The sequence below is a fragment of the Homo sapiens genome, chromosome 5 (assembly GCF_000001405.40).
Source record: "Homo sapiens chromosome 5, GRCh38.p14 Primary Assembly".
NCBI classification, from domain to species: domain Eukaryota; kingdom Metazoa; phylum Chordata; class Mammalia; order Primates; family Hominidae; genus Homo; species Homo sapiens.
The window spans coordinates 122,883,262-122,908,486 of NC_000005.10; the positions used below are offsets into that span (position 1 = coordinate 122,883,262).

A 25,225-nucleotide genomic window follows, 5' to 3' on the forward strand; every position below is an offset into this window, starting at 1 on the left:
CCACATCACTGCTCCTAATGGCACTTCTACTAAAGCCAAAATTGTCCCCTATGAGTTATATTTCTGCATATTTAAGGGCTTTCTTCTTTGTTTATACAATTATTAATAGCATTTTCTGTATTTATTAATATATGATTATAGTTAAATTTATTGAACAGAAATGAACAAATGGCATATCTTCCTAGATACTATTACCATTACATTCTTTTCTTTTCAAATTTTAAACTTCTTTCGTTGGTTGCTTTAGTGATGGTTAGCTTTTGCCATAACTCTATGAACTTCTATTAATGTCTGCATTACCTTAAGGTGTTAATGTTACTATCTTGGAGCCAGTAAGCTTCTAAAACTGTCAGAAATGTATTACTCAGGGTTGTCACATTATTTATTCTTTTTTTTTGTTTTTCGAGACAGTATCTTGATCTGTCACCCAGGCTGGAGTGCAGTGGCACAAAATTATAGCTCACTGCAAGCTTGAACTCCTGGGCTCAAGAGATCCTCCCACCTTACCCTCCGGAATAGCTGGGACTGCAGGCACGCATGCGCCACCACACCTGGCTAATTTTTTAAAATTTTTGGTGGAGATGGGTTCTCAATCTATTGCCCAGCTGGTATTGAACTCCTGGGCTCAAGCAATCCTCTCACCTTAGTCTCTCAAAGTGTTGGGATTACAGGCATGAGCCAGTACTCCTCGCCACATCATTGACTGTTAAATTAGAACTTTGCTTGAGTGGATTGGTGACTATTTTCTGTGATAATTCCATTGGTTCTTCGGAAGAAACAGATTTAGCAAACACTATTTGATTTATTCAATTGAATATATAAATATCCAGTTTTACTCACAAAGTTAGAATTTGGAAGTCTCAGATATGAAACACATTTTCTAACTTTTCCTTTGGTTCCTGTAGGAATCAGTTAGTCTGATTTGAATTCTGGATTTTTTTCCTCTACTTATTGCTGCCTTGAATAATTACCCTCAATTGTTTCTTTTTCTTTTTTTTTTTTTTTTTTTTCAGACAGAGTCTCGCTGTTGCCTAGGCTAGAGTGCAGTGGTGCAATCTTGGCTCACTGCAACCTCCGCCTCCCTGGTTCAAGCGATTCTCTTGCCTCAGACTCCCGAATAGTTGGGTGGAATGCGCCACCACCTCTGGCTAATTTTTGTATTTTTAGTAAAGGTGGGGTTTCACCATGCTGGCCAGGCTGGAGGCTCTTGAACTCCTGGTCTCAAGTGATCCACCCACCTCGGCCTCACAAAGTGCTGGGATTACAGGTATGAGCCAGCACACCCAGCCTGTTTCTTTATCACATAAAAAAAAATGTATTTCTCTCAATAAAATCTGTACTCTATAATTACAGTTCCAACTGCAGTTGACTCACCTTAAACTTTAATAATAGAGAATAAGCAATAGAGACTGTAAGGTGTGTCAGGTAGGGATTAGGAGAAAGGTTCTGACAGACGAGCAGATGTGTGGGGTGAAATAATAGGTGTCGAGGAGTGGGGGTGCTCTGTGGTTGCCGAGAGTGGAGAGCGTCTCAGCTTCTCTCTGTTGAGAAGCCCCTGTTCTAGCAGAAGGTATGTAGTCTCTGAATGGAGAGCTCAAGATTTATGCACAGCTGGTCAGAAAAATGCCTCCATTGTGGAAAACAAAATGCATTTGTACGAACATTTCTGCTTAGGACCATTGTACCAAATTGGCACGTGTATTCTTAGGGACCCGTTGGCCATTTCAGAAGCACGCTATTATGGAAAAGAACATGTTGAAATGAGAGTGGTATAAACAGTTTAGAAGTAAACAAGTCAAATCTTGTTATTTTAAAAGCAGAGTCAGAGGGCTGGCCTTGAATGGGGTTAGGGAAGCTTCCTGCCTCTGTGAGAATGGAAGGAAGAAAGGAGGCTGGGTGTGTAGGTGGGGTGGGGGTGTGTCCAAAGCCAGTCCTCTGTATTGGGGGCTTCCCATTTTTCTTGGATGTTGCTTCCTTCCTGCTTGCCTCCCTGCCTCTCCTCCCCAAGCTCATTCTCTGTGTTCCCTCTAGAGCAGAAACCTGTTGCCCACAGCCTAGCCAATGAGGTAGGGTGAGGTGGGGGTAGGGGAGCACACTGTTCAATGCCCCAGGCCCCTCCTGTGTTCCACGGTCTTCCATCTCTGGGTTTGGAATCCCTGGCAGCCCCTCCTCACTTTTGTATCATCTTCTTTTGTACATGCTTTGAGAATGGTGGCTTCCTCCTTTCCCCCCTTCTAATGCCTTACTATCTGTGACAGTTTTTGGTGTACTGAAAGCACCCATTCTTATATCTCTAAGGAATTTGGGGTCATTTCTAAGGAATTTGGGGTGGAAAGGCCTACAGCCTATTCTCAGTCTGCCAGCTTAACTCTGGACCAAGCAGCTCCTCCTTTCCTTTGGGCCCTGACTTTCCCAGATGAGCAGCCAGTTAAGGTTAAAGAATCAGTGGATTTGGAATAAGGATGGAGGTTTGGAGGATTCTGGGCTTGGGAAAAATAAGAGCAAAGGTACTGAAATAAAACCAAGTATAGTGTGTGCTAGTGCAGTGGTCCCCAACCATGGACAGGTGGTCGGGGGAGGGGGGATGAGATGAAACTGTTCCACCTCAGATCATCAGGCATTAGTTAGATTCTCATAAGGAGTGTGCACCCTAGATCCCTTGCATGCACAGTTCACAGTAGGGTTCATGCTCCTATGAGAATCTAATGCCCCCGCTGATCCGACCTGCTGTGTGGCTGGTTCCTAACAGGCCACAGACCGTTTCCCCGCGGCCCAGGGGTTGAGGGCCCCTGTGCTAGAGGACAGGGACAGGGTTCAGAGCAAGTGGTTGTACTCCAAAGTGCCAGGAGTTTAGTGGTAGGTGAGGGGGAGTGCAAGGAGATGCTACAGCTTCGTGATGACACTTCAGACATGAATTAAGGTGGAAGACTAAAGACATACAATTGATTCTTGACAGTGGGAAAACATTCATTTTTAGTAATTGCTTTGCAAATACCTATGGAATACTTTATAGAAGAGAATGTGAATTTTAATAAAGTTGTCTATTTGATTACTGGTACATTTCTGTCATCTTAATTTGTGTTTTCTGTTTATCAAACTTAATTCCTGTCTCTCTCTCTCCTCTCTTCTATTAGGTGGATAGTTCTTTATCTGTCTTTTCCATGTATCTTGCCAGCCACTCTGGAAGCGATACATTTTTGAATATTTAATACAAAAATTGTAACTTTTATTATTTGTTGTATATGTTTCTAATAACATTTAAAATTATTCGGGCCGGGCGCAGTGGCTCATGCCTGTAATCCCAGCACTTTGGGAGGCCTAGGTCAGGGAATCACGAGGTCAGGAGTTCGAGACCAGCCTGGCCAAGAGACCAGCCTGGCCAATATGGTGAAACCCCATCTCTACTAAAAATACAAAAATTAGCCAGGCGTGGTGGCAGGCGCCTGTAATCCCAGCTACTCAGGAGGCTGAGGCAGGAGAATTGCTTGAACCCGGGAGGCGGAGGTTGCAGTGAGCCAAGATCACGCCATTGCACTCCAGCCTGGCCAACAGAGCGAGACTCTGACTCAAAAAAAAAAAAATTATTCATTATTTTTATATTTCTCCTGAGTAAGGCAAGAACCTTAGCACACCTTAGTTACTGTTCTCCCTCATCCCACTTTTGTTTTTATAGGGGATGTCTAGAATTTTTGTTCAGCTTTTTTAATTTAAAAAAAGTTATTTTAACAAATAATTTATTCATATCCGTACTTACTGTTTTTTCCTGCATCCCATTGTTTCCCTCTGGGCTTACATTTTATTTGCTAAAGTATAGTTTATTAATTGAAACAAGGATCTCTGGGTGATAATCATTAATAAAATAAATAAAAATAAGTAGATAAGTCAGTAAGTTAGACAGTTATCCTAACTGTACCTATACTCTGGGTGGAGAGTTTAGCTCCATTCACAAGTCTGAGTTGACAGTCATCTTTTATCAACACTTTGAATATATTACTTGATTATTTTTGGCATCTGTTGTTGCTGGTAAGAAGTCTGCTGTCAGCCTAATTGTCGTTTATCTGTGAGTAATCTGATTTTCTCTCTAATAGTTTAAAGACTTTTCTCTATCTTTACTGTTCTGCATTTTCAGCAGCAGTATATTCAGGAGAGAGTCTATTTTTATTTAGCCTTTTCACCATTCTCTGTGCTTTTTAAATCTGAGGACTCGGGTCTTTATTGAATTCTGGGAAATTGTCAGCTCTTAGAACTACTTTTAGATGTATGTAGAGTCTTCTCAATCTAGCCTTTATGCCTTTTCATTACTCGATTTCATATTTTTTATGCCCTTATCTCTCTTGCTATGTTCTGGGTAATTTTATAAGATTCCTCTTCCACTTCACCAGTTTTCTCTTCAGCTTTGTCTAATTGGTTGTTTAACTGAACCAGAGTTCTTGATTTCAGTCACTGTATTTTTTCTTTGAGATGGAGTTTCGCTCTTGTTGCCCAGGCTGGAGTGCAATGGCGTGATCTTGGCTCACTGCAACCTCTGCCTCCCGGATTCAAGTGATTCTCCTGCTTCAGCCTCTGGAGTATCTGGGATTACAAGCACCTGTTACCATGCCCAGTTAATTTTTATATTTTCAGTAAAGATGAGTTTTCACCATGTTGGTCAGGCTGGTCCGAATTCCTGACCTCAGGTGATCCACTGGCCTCAGCCTCCCAAAGTGCTGGGATTACAGGCGTGAGCCACCGCACTCGGCCTATATTGTATAAATATATAGGATTTTTATTTGGTTTCTTTTCATGTCTACCTATATATGTTTCATTTGACTTGCTTTTGATTTATCCTATTCTAATGGGTGTTTTTCCTTTCCTTATCCTTTTGAGCAGATTAAGTGTTCTTTACATTTTTCAGTTCTATTATTTGCATTTTTTTGATTATTTGTTGACTGTTCTTCTATGGTTTATAATTTTAATCTGCAGGCTTACTTGGAATGTGAGTCTACCTTCCCTCCACACTGTTTTGTTGCATCCTCCTGGTCCCTAGTTCAGGCCAGGTTCCTATCCGTTAGGGAGGGAGAGAGTATAGCACAGTTAAGAGTGAAGGCTCTGAAACCTGACAGCCTGAGTTCAAGTCTTGGCGCTATTGGTTACTTGTGTGTTGTCTTGGGCATATTATTTAACATTTCTGTGCCTCAGTTCCTCACCTATCAAATGAGGATAATGATAGTATCTAAAACTGTTATTTTGATGATTTCAATAAGTTATTGCTCAGAAGAGTATCTGGATCATAATAAGCACTTCATAAATTCTGACAAATATATTCAGAATATTGCAGATCCAGAATGACCCAACAGGATTTTTGCTCAATATCTGGTTTCTTGGCTCCATCAGCTACTTACTTTCTGCTGCCTCCGATATGCAGCTTTATTTAAGCCACAACTCTAAGTGGCCATAAGAATCCCCATTTCAAGCAGTGGGTGATCCTGGCTCCCCTAACACTATTCCCTAGAAATGGACTTTTGATTCCCATTACACCACAGGAAATGAACTATCAGCCCCCTCTGCCTGCTTCTGGTCTTGGAATTCTGTAAGTTATAGATGTAATGGGATAACTTTGTGTTTTTTTGAGACAGAATCTCACTCTGTCGCCAAGAATGGAGTGCAGTGGCGTGATCTCAGCTCACTGCAGCCTCTGCCTCCCAGGTTCAAGCAATTCTCCTGCCTCAGCCTCATGAGTAGCTGGGATTTACAGGCGTGCATCACCATGCCTGGCTAATTTTTGTATTTTTGGTAGAGATGGGGTTTTGCCATGTTGGCCCAGCTAGTCTCGAACTCCTGATCTCAATTGATCTGCCCGCCTTGGCCTCCCAAAGTTCTGGATAACACGCATTGAGCTACCGTGCCTGGCCAGGACAACTTTTTAAATAACTTTATTTTGAAATAATTTTAAGTGTACCAGAAAGTTGCAAAACTAATACAAAGAATTCTCAGCATTCCTCAATTTTTAACATCTTTCCACTTTTGCTTTATTATTTCCCCCTGCCCTTCTCTGTTTTTTATAGGTATCTATATCTATATCTATATACACTCATCTATCTATCTGTATAGATGTATACAGGCTGAGTACCCCTCATTCGAAAATCTGAAATCTGAAGTGCTCCAAAATTCAAAACTTTTTTGTGTACCAACATGAGGCTCAAAGGAAACGCTCATTGAAACATTTCAGATTTCAGATTTTCAGATTAGGGATACTCAACCAATACATATAATGCAGATATTCCAAAATGGAAAAAGACTAAAACCCTTTTTGTCTCAGGCATTTCGGATAAGGGATACTCAATCCGTGTATGTGTATATATATATACACACATATATATATACACATATATATATATACACATACATATGTATATATATGTGTATATATATATGTGTATATATATGTATATGTATGTGTATATATATGTATATATATATGTATGTGTATATATATATATGTGTATATATATACATTATACCTCTTCTCCCTTCATTTTTTCATTATTCCTAAGGACAAAAAATCTCTTAACATAATCACGGTAAAATTGTCAAATCAGGAAGTTTAATATTGAAACAGTATTTTGTAGTCTGTATTACAAATTTGTCAGTTGTCCCAATAATGTCCTTGTTAGTATTTTTTTTTTTTTTGCTGGTACAAGATCCAAATAGTACATTATATTTACTTGCCATGTCTTTTTAGTCTCCTTCAATCTGGAACTGCCTCTCAGCCCTTCTTTGTCCTCTATGGCATTGTCATTTTTGTAAAGAGACAGGCCAGTTGAGACAGGCCATAGACTGTCCTTCAATTTGGCTTCGTCTGATGGTTCCTTATAGTAGGTAGATTTAGGTGACGCATTTGGGGCTGGAAAACCTTCTTGGGGTATCACATTCAGAGGCACATGGTATCTGTCTGCCCCCGACTAATAATGCTAATTTTGACCACTGGTTAGGTTTTGATGTTTTCTCTGTTGTCTATGATGGTTTTTTTTCCTTTTATAATTATTAACTAACACTTGGGAAGACATTTTGAGATTATATAAGGATTCTGTTCCTCATCAAATGTTTCTGTCCTGGTTCAGCAGACATTAATTGTTTTTTGCCTAAGTTTTTACTCTCTTGTTGGCAAAATGATGATTATCTACCTCCATCATTCCTTCTCTGTAAGGAAAAGATTTCCATTTAGAGGGGATTTTTTTTTTTTTTTTGACACGGAATCTCACTCTGTGGCCCAGGCTGGAATGCAGTGGTGCTATCTCAGCTCACTACAACCTCCGCCTCCTAGGTTCAAGCGATTCTTCCACCTTTGACTCCCAAGTAGCTGGAATTACAGGCGCCCGCCACCACACCCGTCTAATTTTTTGTATTTTTAGTAGAGACAGTGTTTCACCCTGTTGGCCAGGCTGGTCTCGAACTTCTGACCTCAAGTGATCTGCCCGTCTCAGCCTCCCAAAGGGCTGGAAGTACAAGTATGAGCCACCGCACCCGGCCTAGAGGGAACTTTTAAAGCATGAATTTATAGCCCTATCTTGACAATGAAGTACCCAATATATCTTTCAGGAAATGAGCTGTAGTTGAGCAATAACGTTAACTGTAATCCTTTTTTGTACCTTTTCAGAAACAGGAATTGTTAATTAAAATTTTTATCCCTTCAAGATTTTTCTGCAAGGATTTTAAAGTAAAATTTAAATAGTATATAAGAGTATGAAGTGAAAACCCAAAGCCTCTTTTCTGTCTTACCTCTCAGGTGGTAATAGTTTGGCATAGAGCCTTCCAGACAAAAATGGAATCATATGAAGTTATTGTTCTGGAAATTGCTTTTTCAAATGGAAGACTTACATATCAGGTATTTTTGACTGTAGAAAACTTTACCTAGTGTTTTTTTGTTTTTTGTTTTTTTTCCTAAGTAGTTTATTTTTCTGGTTGAAATGGTTTAGGAATGTTGACTTTAAAGTGCCTATTTATTCTAATATCAATGTATTCTATTTTAAAAATACCGATTGGCAGGTAATTTTAAGAATTCTTTAAAGCTAAGTGTTAAATTAAAAAAGCAAGTTACCAAATGATATGTACAGTATGAGACTATTTGTGGGAAAAATGCCATATCAGTTTTATTTTTATTGGCACATACACTTGAAGTAATCATGGTTATCTAGGGAAAATGCTGTTTTATTGAGGTAAAATGGGGGAGTTTTATTTTCTTTTATTGAATTTTTTTCAGTGATGATGTATTCATTTTTTAAAGTAAATTGCAATTTTTTATAAGTATTATAAGTCTTACATATTACCTCACATAGTTTTCAGTTGTTTCTTTCCACACTTCCTGCTCTTTAAGCAGTAATACATACTCCCAAAGAAGGCCTCTCATGATTCTGGAGAAGTATTACTGGATCTTCCAGATTTATTAAAAATTACATTGACTCTGGTCTGATTTACTTATGTAGAGACTTACCTTTTTCAAACCCTTGTTATGTTCGGCTGTATTATTCTTTGAATAGACTTTTTGGGCTGGCCAGGAAAATTAATGTTTCTGTGAAGAAATGTGTTGTGAATGTTAGTTATTGACTTGTGAGCAAACATGTGAGAATAAAATGTGTGTAAGTTGGAGACTGTTGAGTGACCAAAAGTTTGCTTCTCTCATTGAAATAGGAATGGTAAGGGTAAGAATATGGGAGTGTAGGGTCAAAGGCATGAATTTATAACATCGTGAGGACCTTCACAAATGGGGAAGTCCATGCAGCAGACTTATTTCTTTTGTTTTTTCCACCAATGATTAATTTTGAGAAATTAAAATTTAAACCTAAAGGAATATTGAAAGCACAGTATAAGGACATCTTATATTCATTCAGATTCACCAGTTAACCTTTTGCTGTTTGTTTTATATTCTTTTTCTCTCCCTTAGTCTCTCTCTTTCTCTACACACACCCACACCCACACACATAACACACACACATGCACTGTGCACACATTTTATTTATATTTTTTAGTTGAAGCCTCAGAAAGTTAGTTGTTATCTTACTTTCACTCCCAAATTACATTTTACCCTTTTGACCCAGTGGTTAACTAGAGTAATGATCTTTGCCTGAATAAGGTATTACATTGATAGTTGCAAAATGCTGCATTTTCTACCTGTCATTTCCTTTAAATAAATTTATTTATTTTTTATTTTATTTATTTACTTTTTTTTATTGAGACAGAGTCTCGCTTTGGAGTGCAGTGGCGTGATCCTGGCTTACTGCAACTTCTGCCTCCCAAGTTCAAGCAATTCTTGTTCCTTAGCCTCCCGAGTAGCTGGGACTACAGGCGCCCACCACCATGCCCCGTTAATTTTTGTATTTTTAAAAGACTGGGTTTCACCGTGTTGGCCAGGCTGCTCTTGAACTCCTGGCCTCAAGTGATCTGTCTGCCTCGGCCTCCCAAAGTGCTGGGATTACAGGCGTGAGCCACCGTGCCCAGCCCATTTCCTTTATTATTAATTAATTAATTAATTAATTTTTATTTTTTTCTGAGATGGAGTCTCACTCTGTCACCCAGGCTGGAATGCAGTGGCTCGATCTCGGCTCACTGCAAGCTCTGCCTCCCAGGTTCAAGCTATTGTGCCTCAGTCTCCCTAGTAGCTGGGATTACAGGCACGTGCCACCATGCCAAGCTAATTTTTGTATTTTTAGTAGAGATGGGGTTTCACCATGTTTGCCAGGCTGGTTTTGAACTCCTGACCTCAAGTAATCCACCCACCTCGGCCTCCCAAAGTGCTGGGATTACAGGCATGAGCCGCTGCACTCGGCCCCGTTTCCTCTAAATTTACTAGCTGGCATTCTTCTGCAAAGAGAAACTTCTCTCTTTCCTCCTTACTCTCTTGTATTTCTATAGACCCATGGCTTAAAAAAAAAAAAAAATTCAAAGTGTTTTCTATTACTGTCATCATTCTTTTAATGCCCAATTGTTTCAAATTTGTCACAAGGGATCTCCTTCTAGTCGGCTCTTGTGTCCTTTTGACATGACCCCATTTTTTTTTTTGATGACCATTTCTTATGTTTTGTCCAATAAGATATGCAGGTTCACCTTGTACTTTCACAATTCTACATTTCTGCAAGGACTCCTGCCTCCTTTTATTGGATAATGGTATGTAGAAACCAAGATCTGCGTGGTAGGTGTGCTATGGTTAATCATTGCTTTTAGACTCTTTCAGTAAATACAACTAAGAAATATGCTTATTTTATATGTATATATATACATACACATATACATATATACACATAGTTATATATGTAAAGTGTGAGCATATACACATATTTTAAATTATGACATTTCATTTTGTATCTCTTTTTCCCTCATGCATAATAATTCTAGCATTTCAGCCCAAAACTGTTTTAACAATAAACTCACTAAATAGAATTTAAGATTTTTATGCAGCACATTTTGTCTTAGAATATATTTCATTAGGTTTGTACAGTTAGAGTTCTGCATTCAAAAGTTACTTGAAGCCAGGAGCAGTGGCTCACGCCTGTAATCCCAGCACTTTGCGAGGCCAAGGCGGGCGATCACTTGAGTTCAGGAGTTCGAGACCAGCCTGGCCAAAAATGTTGAAACCCTGTCTCTACTAAAAAATACAAAAAAGTTAGCTGGGCTTGGTGATGGGTGCTTTGTAATCCCAGCTACTTGGGAAGCTGTGGCAGGAGAATCGCTTGAACCCGGTTGCTGTGAGCCAAGATTATACCATTGCACTCCAGCCTGTGCAACAGAGCAAGACTCCAAATCGAAAAAAAAAAAAAGTAACTTGAATTATTTGTTCTGTATTGTTATGTAATCAATTTAGTATGCAGTTAGGCTCTTTTTATGAGGTTTTCCAAAACCTCTTGATTTAAATGTAAATTTATAAATAAATAGAACATTTATTTGGTTTAAAACTATATAAAGATATTTTTGGAAAAGTCTTGGTCCCTTCCATTCTACACCCATGTCTGTAGGTAATCATTTTTATTAGGTTCTGGTTTGTACTTCTTGTGTTTCTCTTTTGTGCATGCACACACATACACACACGCTTATTTTATCCCTAATATATCTCCATCTCTTGTTATATATGTCCCTTGTTTTTTCCTTTCATAAATAATGTCATATTATATATAATCTTTTTTTCCCCAATTATTTTTTTTGGTCAGTATATCCTAAAAATCACTCCATATGAATTCACAAGAATCCTCCTCATTGGTAGTGGCACCATGGAACTTCTTTGTGTGACTGAACCATCATTTATCCAGTCAGTCTCCTTTGGATAGGCATTGGGGTTGTTTTTCAGCGTTTTTCTCTTATAAATAATGCTTTCTCTACCAATTTTTTAAATGAGCATTTGCTAGAGAAAAGGCATTGTCTTAGGACTGCTAGGTCATATGGTGAAGAATAAGATATATTTTCTGCCCCTGAAGTGCTTACTGCTTCTGGTAAGGGATGGTTTTAGAAGGAAGAGGGCTAGGAAGAAAAGTGGCGCAGTACCTAGTAGGTAAGTATAATCTGGATGCTCCCAGTAATTCTGAGTGTTGACTGCACATTCTCATAGAAGTGGGGTGAGACAAATATATGGGAAGTAACTGTTATGCTGTAGTCTAGTTTCCAAGTAAAAATAAAAAGAAACCTTTTAAATTAAATACTCCTCAGTAAATAAATGCTTAATAAATTTATTGAGCTACAAATGCTAAGTTTCAGTAAATCACTTCATTTTAGTTTAACAGTACTTTTTTTTTTTTTTTTAAACAGAGCACTTTCTAAAGGTAAAATATAGGTTGGGGAAATCTTTTTCTTGTTAGTATTATTCAGCCAAAACAGTAAATCTTTTTAAAAAGCTTCATATTTAATGTTCACTCCTACACATTTAAAATATACATGGTTGCACAGCCTATTCATGGTTAAAAAAATTAATATATATTTGTATTAATAATAGAAAAGTTATAAGATGGAAAAGTATAAAGGAAAAAATAAACTTAGGGGATAGGTGTAAGCATTAGGTTTTCCATGATTAACTTATGCATTTTCATTAATTTTAGGTAAAACATGTCTCTATTTTAACATGATGTCATCTCTAATGGAATACATTAGAGCTGGGTTAAAAAGTAATTTACCAGTGGAAAGCTCAGTGCTGTTCAGATTTAGAAGTCAGCCCCCCTGAGATAATCCACACCATTTTGTATCCCACATCTTGGACCAAGGGTGTAGGCAACCTTGGGTCCTGGTGATTGGAAGCAGAGGCACATCGGCACTGTGTTCTTTTCTGGTGGAAGGATGGGGTTGTGTGAGAGGCCCCTAGGCTGGGGGCTGGAGGGTGATGAATTATCATCCCCCGCAGGGGACACGTCTGCAAAGTGTGTCCACGCATGCCAGCAGCTGCTGCTTCTCCAGGCCAGCGTGCCCTGTGTCAGCAGTCGTCCCTGCCACCCTCACCATGTTCCTCAACTAGCCTAAGAAAATCCCCATTTCTGCTTATTTGAGCCATAATAGGACTGTTTTCAAAAGATTTCACTTGGAAACAAAGGAAAAGACTAAATACACAAACAAAAATGCAGCAGTACAGAAATGATACAGAAATATAGCAGCAAGGCCGGGCACAGTGGCTCATGCCTGTAATCCCAGCACTTTGGACAGCCAAGGTGGGCAAATCACTTGAGGCCAGGAGTTCAAGACCAGCCTGGCCAACATGGTGAAACCCCATCTCTACTAAAAATACAAACATTATCTGGGTGTGGTGGCATGCACCTGTGATCCCAGCTACTCGAGAGGCTGAGGTGGGAGAATCACTTGAACTGGGGGGCAGAGGTTGCAGTGAGCTGAGATCAAGTCATTGCACTCCAGCCTGGGCAACAGAGCAAGGCTCCATCTCAAACAAACAAACAAACATATAGAAGCAGAGTTTTGTTTGTTTGTTTTTAATCTTAGGTTGGTGAGGTCACAGGTCTTTGGCACACATGTTGTAATTCCCTTTCCCCATTCCTATGGCAGACATTGATGATTGATCCCATATATTTTCCTGTTGGCTCCACCTTGGAAATCATAGCAGTAGTGGATCAGATTTGGCATGTGAGTTGCATATCCTCTTCTTAAGGTAATTCAATTTTGCCAACAGACAGGATTTATCATGCACATGTTCATGTCATTCTCTCTGGTCTGGCTGGACTTAGCTGCAGCTGGCGAATGCTGTCCTACCATGTTGCCTTTGGTGGCAGCCACCATTCCTGTCATCTCTGGAGCCTCCTGTCCTGTCAAGCCACAGACCCTTTTATTTCTATTGTTACATTACCTATAGTTACCAGTTGATTGATGGATGCTCTACTCACTTGCTCATATTTTTTGCAGCTGCTTCATCCTGAATTTATTTCTCTCCATGGCCAAATTCAACAATACCATATGTACTGTCGGGAAAAAAAGTCTTAGGTCAGGAAAAAAAGTCTTATAAGTCTTGCCTTGTTTCTGTGATAGACCACAGCTTATTTATAATAGGCCACAGCTTGTTTATAAAGCAGCTAACTCCTCCCAACTACTACTTGTTAGTTTATGTGATTTTTAAAAATTATCACATTATGTGACTCCCTTCAGCCAAACATTGATCTTAGTAAGGTCTGAGGTTTAACTCTAACCACCAAACATAAATGCTTATGGCTTTTGGAAAATGTGAACTGAACGCTGAAGTCAAGCCTCTGAACCTTGTGTGTGTGTCAGTCTCACGGTGTCAGTAACTTAGAATTGAAAAGCAGATGTGAGCTTTCCTCTTGCTTCTTTCTAGTATTAAATCAATATAGTGTTTTAGAATATTATATTTAAGTGTCATTTCACAGGAGACATATAAACGTATCTACTTCAGAGGCCTCTCCCTGTGCATGAATTTTCACATTTTGTCTTCATTGCCTCATCAGTATGCCAGTAGGTGTCACTGTGTACATTAAATGGAAATCAAAGATGTCATTAGAAGAATTTCCAAAATTATGGCAATTTTTTTTAAAACAGAGTTCCCAACAGTAAGCCAGAATGTTTATACCACTTCTTTTTTTTATTTTTAAATTTTTTCTTAGGCTATCATAAGAAAACATGACATCAATTTTTCTCTCCCTATTTCTGCTACCTTACTACCTTATATGAGCCCTTATGTATATATGAAAATACTTATTTTGGATGCATTCATAAGAATTAGAAGACAGCATATAGACTAACATGTTAAAGGAAAGAATGGATCATTTTGAACTTACATATGTCACTCTCCTAGGATAGAACTATGCTGCCAGAAATCTTTTTCAGGGGATGGAGTGGGGATTTTATCACTCCAAATACTTATTTGTGACAATACAAGAATATTGTAAAAACAAAAAAAAATTAACGTGCAATGAATATGTGTGTGTGCACACAGATGCGCGTTTGCCAGCTGAGGACTTTTTTAACCAGTATTTTTAGGTCCTCTATACATTTATGAGGCTACTCTTCAGAATTTTTAGTTTTCCTGTAACAGAAGAAACTGTTTCCTATCTTGTATAATCCTACAGTTTCAAGTTTACAGTAATATTAGTGGAACTTAATTGTTTAAATGTCTGAGACTTTTTTCTGTGGGCTCCCTGTCCTGTTCACCCCTTCAAAAAAGTAAAAGTATTTGACTTTATGTCTTCTGTTGCTTCTTGGGGGAAAATACCATGATGGTCACTTAACTCATTTTCAGGTCTTTGATACTAAGATCAACAGTATTGTAAAATGCTTTCTTCAGTTGAGCAATACAAATTTAGGTTGTACCAATGTTCTGGAAAACTGTTTGTGTGCATGTATGTGTGTCGGGGTTGGTGCTGGAATTGTGATCTGTTGTCTGAAATAATTACATGTGGTTTTTCCATTCAGAAGAATGTTCCTTTTGTGAAGAATGACTTAAGGAAGATTCATGATGACTGAGTGTGCCCGTGTGGAACTTTAGGACATAGATGCACTCCTACAGAGTCAGTCTTAAATCATCTTCAACCCTATTTTCCCTGATACACGTAATAAAAATGAAGATGTGTTCTATGTGGTGGCAAGGGGAAAATTGTCTGCAAGACATGATACAGATAGCAATTAAAATGCACTGGGGATTACTCAAAATTCCTTTTCATTTATAACTTTTAAAATTAAGAATGCTTAAAGTAAAAACCCTTTCCCAGATCTGAGGCCCTGCAGGCAGTGTGGGACAGTGCAGTGAGCCATGTGCCTTTGGGTCAGAGGGTCTGGGCTCCAGCCACTATGGCAGCACTCTGAGTTTGTGTATAGGCAGAGCTCAGATTTTCTCCATCTTTGAGTTCTTTGGTCTGGGAAAGGAGAAGTGTTGTTGTATAGGTTAAGTGTAGGGCTTTAGCTGAATCAATAACATTTTGTTTCTTAAAAAAAGAAAATGAAATCAAAATAAATATGGAAAAATATCCATTAAATCTTGATGATGGGTAGATGCTTCTGTTGATACTGTTTTCTACCCAGAGTTTCTATGTGGTTGAGTTGAAGGCATGAGCATTAATATTTTCAAAGCATTCTGCAGGTAACTAACATGCAGCCAGAATTGAGAATCAATGGTCTACATGGCTTCTTATTCCTAAGCCGGCAGGCCAAATGTGGTTGATGGGGCATTTCACAAATCAGAGTTTAGGAACTGGAGTCAGAGAACCTTGAAAGTGTCCCCATCCTTGGGTGCACACAGGAGGGTGTCTAGAGGCTTACAGTGTTTATGCATTATTGGTGGTGGGCTGTCCTGGCCATTTTTGAGAGCTTCTTTTCCTTGATGCTTGAAGCTTTCTGTTTACCATTCCTGCTGGAATAACTTTCCCCACCTCCTGACAGCCTCCACTGTGAGATCTGTGCCCCACCTGAAGAACACAGTCTCTTCTGCTCTTTTCACTCCTATAGTCTTCAACATACACCTGGCTGCGAGTCGTGGTGACTTTGGAGCTAGACTAGTAAATCCCTTGCTGTTGGTAGGGTTCTGGCAGTAGATGTTCTAAGGGGAGGGTTGGCATAGGTAGTAGCAGCAGTAGCTTGAGTGAACATGTCTTCAGCTATTATGGAGTCCATAGAAATATACCATTTGCACCAGAAAAAATTAGTTCAACATACAGTCTATCAGTAATGCTTCTGTTGAATATTTTTATTTTTATTTATTTTTTGAGACAGGTTAGTTTCTGTTGCCCAGGTTAGAGTGCAGTGGCACAATTACAGCTCACTGAATCCTCGAATTCGCAGGCTCCATCTGTCCTCCCATCTTAGCCTCCCAAATAGCTGGGACTACAGGCACACACCACCATGCCTGGCTGATTTTTGTATTTTTTGTAGAGATGGGGTTTTGCCATGTTGCCCAGGCTGGTCTCAAAATCCTGGGCTTAAGCAGTACGCCTGCCTCAGCCTCCCAAAGTGCTGAAATTACAGGCGCGAGGCACTGTGCCTGGCCCCCTCTGTTGAATAGTAAAAAGTTCCTTCAGCACTTAATTTGACTCTTTGCTAGATGCTTATCTGACAATGATGAAGGAATGCAGTGAGCTCTTAACCTCCCAAGGCAGTGTATGCTCTTGTGGGGATAACCCTTAAAGGAGAGTTGGGGAAAGTTTTTCTTATTAGGACTGATTAACTCACAGGTGGAAAACCCAAGGACTTTAGTAGAACCCATTTTAAAAATCTTGATCTCTCCCTTTTTTCCAGCTTTACTGAATAAATGACAAATAAATATTGTGTGTATTTAAGATGTGCAATATGGTGTGGGTTTTTTTTTGTTTGTTTTTTGAGACAGGGTCTTGCTCTGTTGCCCAGGCTGGAGTGCAGTGGCGTGGTCAGGGATCACTGCTGCCTTGAACTCTCAGGCTCAAGCGATACTCCTGCCTCAGACTCCTGAGTAGCTGGGACCACAGGTGTGTGCTACCACACCCACCCAGCTACTTTTTTTTTTTGAGATGAGGTCTCACTGTGTTGCCCAGGCTGTGATGTTTTTGATAATACATATACAGTGTGAAATGATTACCACAATCAAGCGAATTAACATATCTATCACCTCACATAGTTACAATTTTGAGAGTGTGTGTAGCAGCAATTTTTAAAATGTGAACTATTAAAACGTTTTTTTTAAAAAAATGAAGAACAGAGAACATGCAGGTCTGTGCATTGGAAATTAAATTCAAATTTTCATTCTATATGGCCATGTAAAAATGGTGTGGTATAGAAAACATAACTAAGGGCCTGGTGGAATGGCTCACACCTGTCATCCCAGTGCTTTGGGAGGCCAAGACAGGAGGATCTGCTTAAGGCTAGGAGTTTGAGACCAGCCTGGGCAACGTAGTAAGACCCCATCACTACAAAAAATATAAAAAATCAGCCAGGTATGGTGGCACACACCTATAGTCCCAGCTGCTTGGGAGGCTGAGGCGGGAGGATTGCTTCAGACTGGGAGGTCAAGCCTGCAGTGAGCTGAGATCACACTACTGCACTCCAGCCTGGGTGACAGAGTGAAACTTCAGTCTCAAAAAAGAAAGAAAAAAGAAATAAAACAACAGGGAAAGGATAAAATGTTTTTAAAGACCTAAGAGCCAATAATTTATTCAGTTATCATTATAAGTAATGTTCCTTTTTCAGAGGGAAAAATGATTTATATGTCTTGAAAGGCAAAATATGGCCAGGTGTGGTGGCTCGTGCCTGTAATCCCAGCACTTTGGGAGGTCGAGGCAGGTGGATCACTTGAGGTCAGGAATTCAAGACCAGCCTGGCCAACATGGTGAAACCCCGTCTCTATTAAAAATACAAAAATTAGCTGGGTGTGGTGGTGCACGCCTGTAATCCCAGCTACTCAGGAGGTTGAGGTAGTAGAATCGCTTGAACCTGAAAGGTGGAGGTGGCAGTGAGCCAAGATTGTGCTATTGCACTCCAGCCTGGGTGACAAGAGCAAAACTCCATCTCAAAAAAAAAAAAAAAGCAAAATATTGCTCATATTTATGATGAAGAACTATTGCACTGTACCTAAGTTTTGGATCTCTTGAAATATAGCTTGTTTTCTTTTTATTATTTATTTGTTTCTACTTTATGCATTGACTGTGGGGGACAATAAGGAGAATGTAGAAGATTTATAAAATGCAGTATCTTTCTTGGAATTTATAGGCTATGTGAATAGATTGCAGTTAAACAACAATGAAAACTAGGGTATGTTTAGGGACAAAACACAAAGATATAATAAATATTCTAGGAATTTAGGAACGATCAGCCAGGTCCAGCGGGGCTGGTATGCAGGAGGTATTTGGGCATCTCATTTATTGCCTAAGTCCTGGACACTGTTGCCTTTCTGCTCCCTTTGTTCCATATGCCTGCTCCCATTGAAGGTTTACTTGGCCTCTCACTCTTGACTTTTGTCTCCTGTCATTGCCCCTTGGACTTTACAGATTGATCTTACAGGATCTTGACCCTCCATTCTCTCCCTTGGATGTGTCATACACACATGTTCTACCTGACCTTGGACATGGGGTAATACCAGAGATGCCTGGTAGATGCCTGGTCCTAGGGTCCTCCTCCACAGCAGCCCATTTGGAATCATTCTGCTCTGACTTGCTTCTTAATGGGTGTCTGTCCCTGGACATCCTGTGGTAGAACATCCTAATTTTGGGATATCCCAAAACTGATTGCATTATATCCGTTCCATCTTTCTCTCTTCCATAAACAAACAATATTCTTTTGTCTTATATATCTTTGAGTCTAAGACTGAGCTTCACTATCTGCCCAGTTTTCCAACCTAAAACATAAGAACAGTCATTGTCTGTCCTTCATCTGGGCATTCAGCTCTTTGCCAGTAATCTCTGTGGCCTCTGGCCCTTGTTCACACTCCTCCTTGTTCACCCATCTTCCCTGTGTACTCATGGTGGCAGTGCCACTCACTCTTCTCATAGGCTGTACCCTGCTGTGTCTCTCCATACCTCTTCTGAGTTTGCCTTTCTGAATATTTCTATTGCCTCTTGGCTCTCTATAGCCTGAAGGTCAGACTTGTAGGTGTAGTGTAGTGCTGAACCCCTTTCAACTCCAGTTGGGATGGCACCAGGTTCAAGAGGCTGAAGAAGAGATGCAGAGCCAGCAAAGGAGACATGGAGTTTTATTGTTTACATACAGGGGAAATGGAAGAGGACCAGGGAAGATAACCACACAGCCCAGTGGCAGAGAGCTGGGCAGGAAAACCACAACCACTTGCAAAAAGCATGCAGTTTATATAGCATTTCCACTTAACACCTCCCCTCTAACAACCTCCACCTGGCAACCTTCATTCCAGATGAAACTCAGGGCCTCGATTCTCTGTACACTTATGTTCTATGGGAGGGGATGGGGGCTCAGATGTTCCTTACAGACAAGGAACAGAATCTTCCTATTGGCCAGTACTGGATTCCCTAGCCCAGTACACACATTCAGGTGTGTCTGCTATACAGGGTCATCCTCAGGGTGACCCTGTCATGCTTAAGTTATTGCTATCAGGTGTATTTATCATGCATATGGTTAAAAAGAGCCCCTTCCCCGTCTTGTCCCAGCTTACCTCTTTAACCTTCTCTTAGCCAGTTCAATTCCCCTCCTTTTGATGACTGTCTTCCCCCAGACTCAACTGAGTTTCAACTCATATTAGTCTGCCACTGTTGCACAAATATATCATTGCAATTCTGGATCTGTATCTTGCTACTTATTGTTCCCTAGGCCTGAGACGTCCCCAGCCTCTTCAGTCTCATTTTCACCCTGTATACAGAGAACTCAGTACCCCACTCAGAAACATGCATTTCTGTGAATCATTGCCTAAATGTCCCAGACAGAGGTGGTTGTACTCTCCTTTGTACGTTTTTTTGTTTGTTTTTTTTTGATACAGCGTCTTAGTCTGTCACCCAGGCTGGAGTGCAGTGGCACGATCGTGGCTCACTGCAGCCTTGACCTCCCCAGGCTCAGAGGATCCTCCCACCTCAGCCTCCCTAGTCACTGGGACTACAGGCATGTGCCACTACATCTGGCTAATATTCGTATTTTTTTAAATAGAGACAGGGTTTCTCCATGTTGCCCAAGCTGGTCTTGAACTCCTGGGCTCAAGTGATCCACTCACCTCAGCCTTTCAAGGTGTTAGGATTACAGGCCTGAGCCAGCCACAGTGCCACGCCTCCTCTGCACTTTTAATGTACCCTGTTTATGTTTCTTCTATACCAACTTTTGCACTGTGTTTTGGCCAGTGAACAGGTCTTTCCCTCCGCTGGTCTGTGAAGTCTGACTGACCTGCAAATCATGCTTTATGCATCTAATTATCTCCTGTGGACTGGGCACCTGCACACTGCTCAGCTCATCTTTGTTGCGTGAATGAAGACCCATGTTGAATGGAGTTTTAAAATCTGGGAAGTTTTTGGCCATGTGCTTAATGTTGAGTTTTGTTTCCTAATTAACCTTAAGTTTTGGTTTACTGTGGTGTATCTATTCTGTGCTTCTGTAATTTAAAGCATAATTACTGCATGAATCTGTTTGAGAAGGGTATGTTTTTAAATTTTTATACTTTTGATAAGCTTCTGCTTTGTTACATTTATGATGTAACAAAGCCCTTTTATTGGTGGACTACTTTCTAATTAAAATACTCTATTTACAGATTTGTTCTAAGCCTCTTCCTAGGTACACAATATGTTTCAATAATTACATTAAAAGATACATAAATATAATGCATATTAATATTAAAAACATAAATGTATGTTATGTCTAATTGGTCCTACGGTTAAATGGCACAGTAGGGACAGGAGACCTTACATTTTTTTTCAGCTCTTATAAATTCTTGGGTTCTGTGGGTTAAGTTTAACATCGTTTTAGCCCCTAGAGCAAGAGAAGCTTGAGAATGATAGATTGTTGAAGTAAAGCAGTTACCCAGTGGAATACCTAGTCTTTTTTTTTTGTTTTCTTTTTTTTTGAGATGGAGTTTCACTCTTGTTGCCCAGGCTGGAGTGCAATGGCACAATCTCGGCTCGCCACGGCCTCTGCCCCCTGAGTTCAAGGGATTCTCCTGTCTCAGCCTCCCCAGTAGCTGGGATTACAGGCATGTGCCGCCACACCCTGCTAATTTTTGTATTTTTAGTAGAGACGGGGTTTCTCCATGTTGGCCAGGCTGGTCTCAAACTCCCGACCTCAGGTGATCCGCCGGCCTCTGCCTCCCAAAGTGCTGGGATTACAGGTGTGAGCCACCACTCCCGGCCTTTTTATCTTTTGTTTTTTCCTTTGTTTATATCTGGTCTTTAAAAAAAATTATTTTTTAATTATTTTAAGTTCTTTAAATGCCTAGCCTTTTCTACAAATCTGTAATTACATGATCCCAGTATTTAAAAATGTTTCTTGCAGTTACAGCTTTTTCTGTATTTTATAGACTCATTAATAATTTACATGATCATCAGATAATTCGGCTTAATATGTCTTATTCTATTCAGTATGCTCTTAAAGTTAACTGTGACCGAAGGAACATGTCAACTAAGAAAGCTAAACGTTTCACATTGATAATAAATCTGAGATTAATTGTTCTTTTGGCTTTCACTTAAACTCCATGGAGTTTAACTGGGAAAAAAATATGCCACCACTTTAGACCCATGTGAAAGGAAGACAGCCTGATGCTCCAGACCTGTTTGGAGCGGCCGTCTCGTATTTCCCCACTCATGAGCCACCACACACAGTCAGCTTCTAGCAGGCCTGGTGTGGGTGTTGTTTCCCAGGACACTTTTTAAGTAAGTGTGTAAGAACATAGATGTGTCCATTCAGAAAAGTTCTTCAAGTCCTTAATGTCCTCAGTGAAAGTATGTTAGAATGTATTGTGTTTTTATAGCCCACACTCCAGCTGTGTAGATGTGAAACAAGACTAAATAGGCATATTTGACTTCACAGGTTTTGTGGGTGGGGTGTTGAGGGTAGGTAAGGATCCTGATTCCATCCTGAGGTTATCAGCTAGGGGTAGAGAGTGGAGTGAAGTGGGAGATTGGGAGGTGGGAGGAGGGAAGGGGTATGTGGGACGATTAGTATCTGACAGTTGGGTTCATTCTGCCAGCGCACCCTGAGAGGTCCCACCACTCCTGAGCTGAAGGCTGTGATTTTGGGTCTTCACTGTATTGATCACAGGTGGCCTGCCTCAGCCACTCACTCAGGAGGCTTAGGAAATACAGGCTAATTTACTACTTAACTGCATCCAAAAAATTTATACAGGTTGAGCATCCCAAATTCAAAACTTTTTGAGTGCTAACATGATGCTCAAAGGAAATGTTCACTGGAGTATTTCGGATTTCAGATTTTCAAATTTCGGATGCTCAACCAGTAAGTATAATACAAATACTAAATCTGCAGCACTTCTGGTCCCAAGCAATTTGGATAAAGGATATTCAGCCTGTAATAACCCTAGGAACACCTGATTGGAGATCTGTCCAAACTTCCTGAGCACTAGTTCAAGATCCTCCTCTCTTTCCAACTCAGATATAACTTCCATCTGTAAGAGTAGGTTTATAATTACAGGTTGCAGATTTAGAGATACTACTTGGGAACTCAAATTTAAATGATTTTTACCTGACCCTGACCATTTACTACCTTCCTGGTTGAACTCAGTCCTTCAAGGTTTATAGTAATCCATTGAGTTGTGGATGTCTCAGGATTAAACATTCAGCCACAGTTAAGTACCTACTATGTGGTAAAGTCTTAAATAGACACTGGAGACAGAATAACAGCTAAGAGTCAGGTGGAGGATGTGTATATCAACAAATACAAATAAAACAACCACAAGCACTTCAGGTATATACAGAGAGCTCTAAGACCACAGAACCTGCAGGTAAAGTGTTCCTCTGCATTCTTAGGGTGACCATACAACTTGGCATCCAAACTGAAATGTTTTTGAAAGTACAAGGTGGTAGTATAGAGATTTGTGCTGGGATAACAGCAGTAGACCTGGGCTGTCTGGGAACAGCCAGGGCAGTGGTCATCTCTCCACTTAGCACCCCATACCTGGCTCACTCTGGGTTCCACCATGCTGCCCTCCTGTCTGTCATTGTACAAACATCTTACAAGATTGTATTTAATAGTTGTCATGTGCCTTATTAATTGTGAGTACAGCATAGTGGGTCTGATTTGAATCAATTTTTTGTTTCCAGGTAGGCCTAGAACAGAAAGTGTATGAAGTGAAAGTATTTTGAACTTGACATGCATAATCTCATTTACTTCTCAGAGCAGTTCTTTAGGGTTTATGTACTGTTGGTATTTCCTTTTGTTTTGAGTGGAGTTTTGCCCTTTTTTGCCCAGGCTAGAGTGCAGCGGTGCGATCTTGGCTCACTGCAACCTCCGCCTCCCAGGTTCAAGTGATTCTCCTGCCTCAGCCTCCTGAGTAGCTAGGGTTACAGGCACATACCACCATTCCTGGTTAATTTTGTATGTTTAGTAGAGATGGGGTTTCACCATGTTGGCCAGGCTGGTCTTGAACCCCTGACCTCAGGTGATCCGCCCGCCTCGGACTCCCAAAGTGCTGGGATTACAGGCATGAGCCACCACACCTGGCCTATGGTGTTTCTTTTTACAGTTGAGAGGACAGTGAGGCACACAGAAGTGAAGTAACTTGTTGGCCACAGAGTAAGTGACAGGGGCAGGATTCGAGCCCCAGCAGCGTGACTCTAGCCCCTGCTCATGCAGCTTACTCTGCTTGTGTTCTCTGGGTTTGGCTACAGGCCACCAGTGCCACAGGAGATGATTTAAGTGGTGCCTAGACATTGAATAACATTGACTCAAAAAGGAAAACGTTATTCCCTTTTCACTTATCTTTTAATCCTACGTCATTTTCTCCACCACCCTAAAAAATTCTCCAAGAACTTTAACTTGGCTTTACTTTGCTTATCTCTCTAAGGAAGGAGTAACTTCAGGCTCCAAACCTTAAACAAGAAATGTAATTTTAAAATGAGTATTTCATTTTTATACTCACCTATTTATAGCAAGTGATACTGGCTTCTCATATCTATTTGTGACGTAAAGTTTTCTTTAAATCATATTGAAGTAAAAAGTCTATTAAAAAAAATCAAGTCCAGATAGGATGCAGATGGGGCCAAGTTGTGAAGGTAGTGTGGGAATTTGTAATATGGGGGAACACTCCCTCCTCAAGGGAGGAATTAAGGAGTAGAGATAAAAGCCAGACGGCCCTCAGGGTAAAGTTTTAGCATTCTTTCACCTAGGAGTCACGGGGCTGGTAATTCTGTCCCATTTGCTGCCTTTTCCTTTTCTTCTGTTTGAGAAGTCACATGGCAAAATATTAGGAGTCTGTCTGACTTAATGATCTCTATTCCAGACATGTACTAATTTATACTTTGCGGTCATTTATCTACACTGGCAATGAATGGGAAGTAGTTGAAATTGTTATCTTTATAACTGAAGGGAACAATTTGTATGCAGAGGGGCTTGATCTGGTATCTTAGTTCTTAGAAACACCTAAATTCTCCTGTTTATAAGGAAAATTGAATTGTATCTCAAGTTATCAATTTTTATTTTCCTGATAATGGCACAAGAATTAAAAATCTATTGAAACTTCTTAACACCGTGGTATAAAATTTCAATTTAAAAGTATAACTGGGCAGTTATAGCTCACTGAATGGTAATTTTTTTTTTTTTTTAATTTTCTTTTAAGGACAGCACAATTAGATTTTGGTAAGATTGAGACTTCAGTGTCTTCTGGTATATTTGTCAGGACAGATTCACAAGTAGTTTGCAAGTGTTCACGAACAAATCAGGTTAGTAATACATTGAAACCAGCACAAATAGATTGTCCTCATCACCACATAGACAAAACAGTCAGGAGATGGGTTTGGTGCTGTAAGCACAAGTGGCACGATATAATGAAGTTGTATTCCATTAAGCTCTTGTGTACGGGGAGCAAAATGTCATCACCTGAATGTGGCTGCATTTCTGTGATACAACCTCATCTGTTCCGTCAACTAGTTTTGCTCTGATCAATAAGCAGTTTTCTGTGGCCTTTCACTGCTGTCAGATGTCATTGAGTGATGTAAATGCACGTCAGAAACTAGAAACTTGACAGCTCACCCAGAGAGGGAAGGGAGAGAGGAGAGGGAAATCACTACAATAGACATGGTTGACAGCTGACATCTCCTTGGGGTAACTGATTGGATACTGTAGCAGCCGGCACTTTTCCCATATAAACACGAAGAAAAATTATCCTGTTATGTGTAAAATACAG

At 40.1% G+C, this 25,225-nt stretch overlaps 1 protein-coding gene across 10 annotated transcripts in view; it reads left to right on the top strand.

The window, feature by feature from the left end:
* SNX24 (sorting nexin 24) overlaps window positions 1-25,225 on the top strand; it is a 183,706-nt gene that overhangs the window by 37,649 nt on the left and 120,832 nt on the right. For 6 of the 10 annotated variants that reach the window (XR_001742058.2, XM_017009395.2, XM_011543349.4 and 3 more), the window contains exon 2: window positions 7,766-7,864. The exons of the other annotated variants lie outside the window; for them this stretch is intronic. Coding sequence is in view for 5 of the 6 variants with exons in the window: in XM_017009395.2 (XP_016864884.1) it covers window positions 7,766-7,864 (99 nt within the window). In the remaining variant the exon portion in view is untranslated. The remainder of the gene's footprint in view (window positions 1-7,765; window positions 7,865-25,225) is intronic. 10 annotated transcript variants of the gene reach the window in all.